Raw genomic sequence first — 2,382 nt, 5'->3', positions numbered from 1 at the left:
TCCATATTTAGTGTTTTCTTCAATAGCTCTTGCAAGGCAGTCCTGGTGGTGACAAAATTCCTCAGCATTTGCTTGTCTTGAAAGGATTCTATTTATCTTTCACTTCTGAAGCTTAGTTTGGATAGATTTGAAGCTCGGGGTTGAAAATTCTTTTCTTTAAGAATGTTGAATATTGGCCCCCACTCTCTTCTGGTTTGTAGGGTGTCTGCTGAGAGGTTCGCTGTTAGTCTGATGGGCTTCCCTTTGTAGGTGACCTGGCCTTTCTCTCGCTGCCCTTAACATTTATTTCTTCATTTTGACCTTGGAGATTCTGATGATTATGTGTCTTGGGTTTGATCTTCTCATGGAGTATCTTAGTGGTGTTCTCTGTATTTCCTGAATTTGAATGTTGGCCTGTCTTTCTAGGTTGGGCAAGTTCTCCTGGATAATACCCTGAAGTGTGTTTTCCAACTTGGTTCCATTCTCCCCATCTGTTTCAGGTACTCCAAACAATTGCAGGTTCAGTCTTTTTACCTAGTCCCATGTTTCTCAGAGGTTTTGTTCATTCCTTTTGAGTCTTTTTTTCTCTAATCTTGCCTGCGTACTTTATTTCAGCAAGATGGTCTTCAAACACTGATATCCTTTCTTCTGCTTGGTTGATTCAGCTATTGATACTTGTGCATGCTTCACAAAGTTCTGGTGCTGTTTTTCAGCTCCATCAGGTCATTTATGTTCCTCTCTGAAGTAGTTATTCTAGTTAGCAGCTCCTGTAACCTTTTATCAAGGTTCTTAGCTTCTTTGCATTGGGTTAGAACATGCTCCTTTAGCTCAGGGGAGTTTGTCATTACCCACCTACTGAAGCCTACTTCTGTCAATTTGTCCATCTCATCCTCTGTCCAATTCTGCACCCTTGCTGGAGAGGTGTTGGGATCATTTGGAGGAGAAAAGGCACTTTGGCCTTTTGAGTTTTCAGCTTTTTTTCATTAATTCTTTCTCATCTTCATGAGTTTGTCTAGTATCGATCTTTGAGGCTGCTGATCCTTGGATGGGGATTTTGTGGGGACTTTTTTCGTTGATGCTGTTGTTATTGCTTTCTGCTTGTTTGTTTTTCTTTCAATGGTCAGGTCCCTCTTCTGTAGGGCTGCTGCAGTTTGCTGGGTGTTCACTTAAGGCCCTATTCATCTGGTTCACTCCTGTACCTGGAGATGTCACTCGAGGAGGCTGGAGAACAGCAAAGATGGGTGACTGCTCCTTCCTCTGGGATCTCTGGCCTCGAGGGCACCGACCTGATGCCAGTAGGAACACACCTGAATAGGCGTCTGACAACCCCTGTTGGATGGTCTCACCCAGTTGGGTGGCACAGGGAGGAGGACACATTTAACCAAGCACTTCGACTGTCCCTTGGTGGAGGTGGTATGCTTCTCTGCGGGGGAAACCCACTTGCCTGGGTGACCTGGATTCCTCAGAACTAGCAGGCAGAAAGACTAGGCCTGCTGGTCCACAGAGACTGTGGCCGCCCCTCCCTCTAGGGCTCAGGCCCAGGGAGATCAGCATTCTGTTTCTGAGCCCCTGGTTGGAGTTGTTGGAGTTCCTGCAGGGAAACCCCATCCAGTGAGGAGGGATGGGTCAGGATCAGGACTGAAGAGGCACTCCAGCCACAGTCTGCCACAGCTGGTGTGTTGGGCTGTGGGGAAGACCTCTTGGGACCAAGCCGTCAGCCTCTCTGGCTCCAGCAGGGGAAAAGCATAGCCTGGAGCAACAGGGATGGCTGTCATCTTCCCCCTTCCCTGGGAGCTTAGTGTGTTAGGCAACTATCAGTTCCAGTGTTGGCTGTCGCCCCTCCCTGAAGAGGCTCAAATGGCTCAGACAACAGGCAGCTGCAGCTGTGATGCTAGTCGCCCCTCCCCCTGGGAGCTCCACAGACTTAAGCAGATTCTAGCTGCGTGGCTGTTGGGACCCTAGGCCTCAGTGACATGGACTCACAAGTGGGAACTTCTGATTCATGAGTTGCACAGTTCCATGGAAAAAGCCTGTTTTCTCAGGCTGGGTAGCACACTCAATCACTGCCTTCCTTGGCTGGGGGGTGGGGGCTTCCGTGCCCAGTGTGGCTCTCAGGTGGGTTGTCGCACCACACTGCTCTTCCTTCCTCTCTGTGGGTCATGCCAGCTGCTTAGTCAATTCTGATGACAGAACCTGGATACCTCGGTTGCTGGTGCAGGGTTCCCGTGCTGATATGGTTCTTTTCGATGGGAGCCTCTGATCGCTGCTGCTTCTCGTAGACCATCTTGGCCCCGGCCCCCTTTATTCTATTGAAAATATGTCTTAATTTCTTCTTCAGTTTCTTCCTTGCTTGTGAAAAGATGTACAATTAATTTTTGTGTATTTGTTTTTACCTATGTTATT

General features: G+C 48.2%; 1 annotated feature.

Annotated features, from left to right (window-relative positions):
• Window positions 1,687-1,981: an enhancer, noted in NCBI's record as "tiled region #911; K562 Activating non-DNase unmatched - State 24:Quies". NCBI's record gives its function as "activates a minimal TATA promoter and a strong SV40 promoter by Sharpr-MPRA in K562 cells {active_cell/tissue: K562}" and the evidence as "EXISTENCE:reporter gene assay evidence [ECO:0000049][PMID:27701403]".

This window comes from Homo sapiens, chromosome 7 (assembly GCF_000001405.40).
Source record: "Homo sapiens chromosome 7, GRCh38.p14 Primary Assembly".
NCBI lineage: Eukaryota > Metazoa > Chordata > Mammalia > Primates > Hominidae > Homo > Homo sapiens.
Note: the sequence above shows the minus strand (reverse complement) of the source record. Positions and strands in the feature narration are given on the sequence as shown.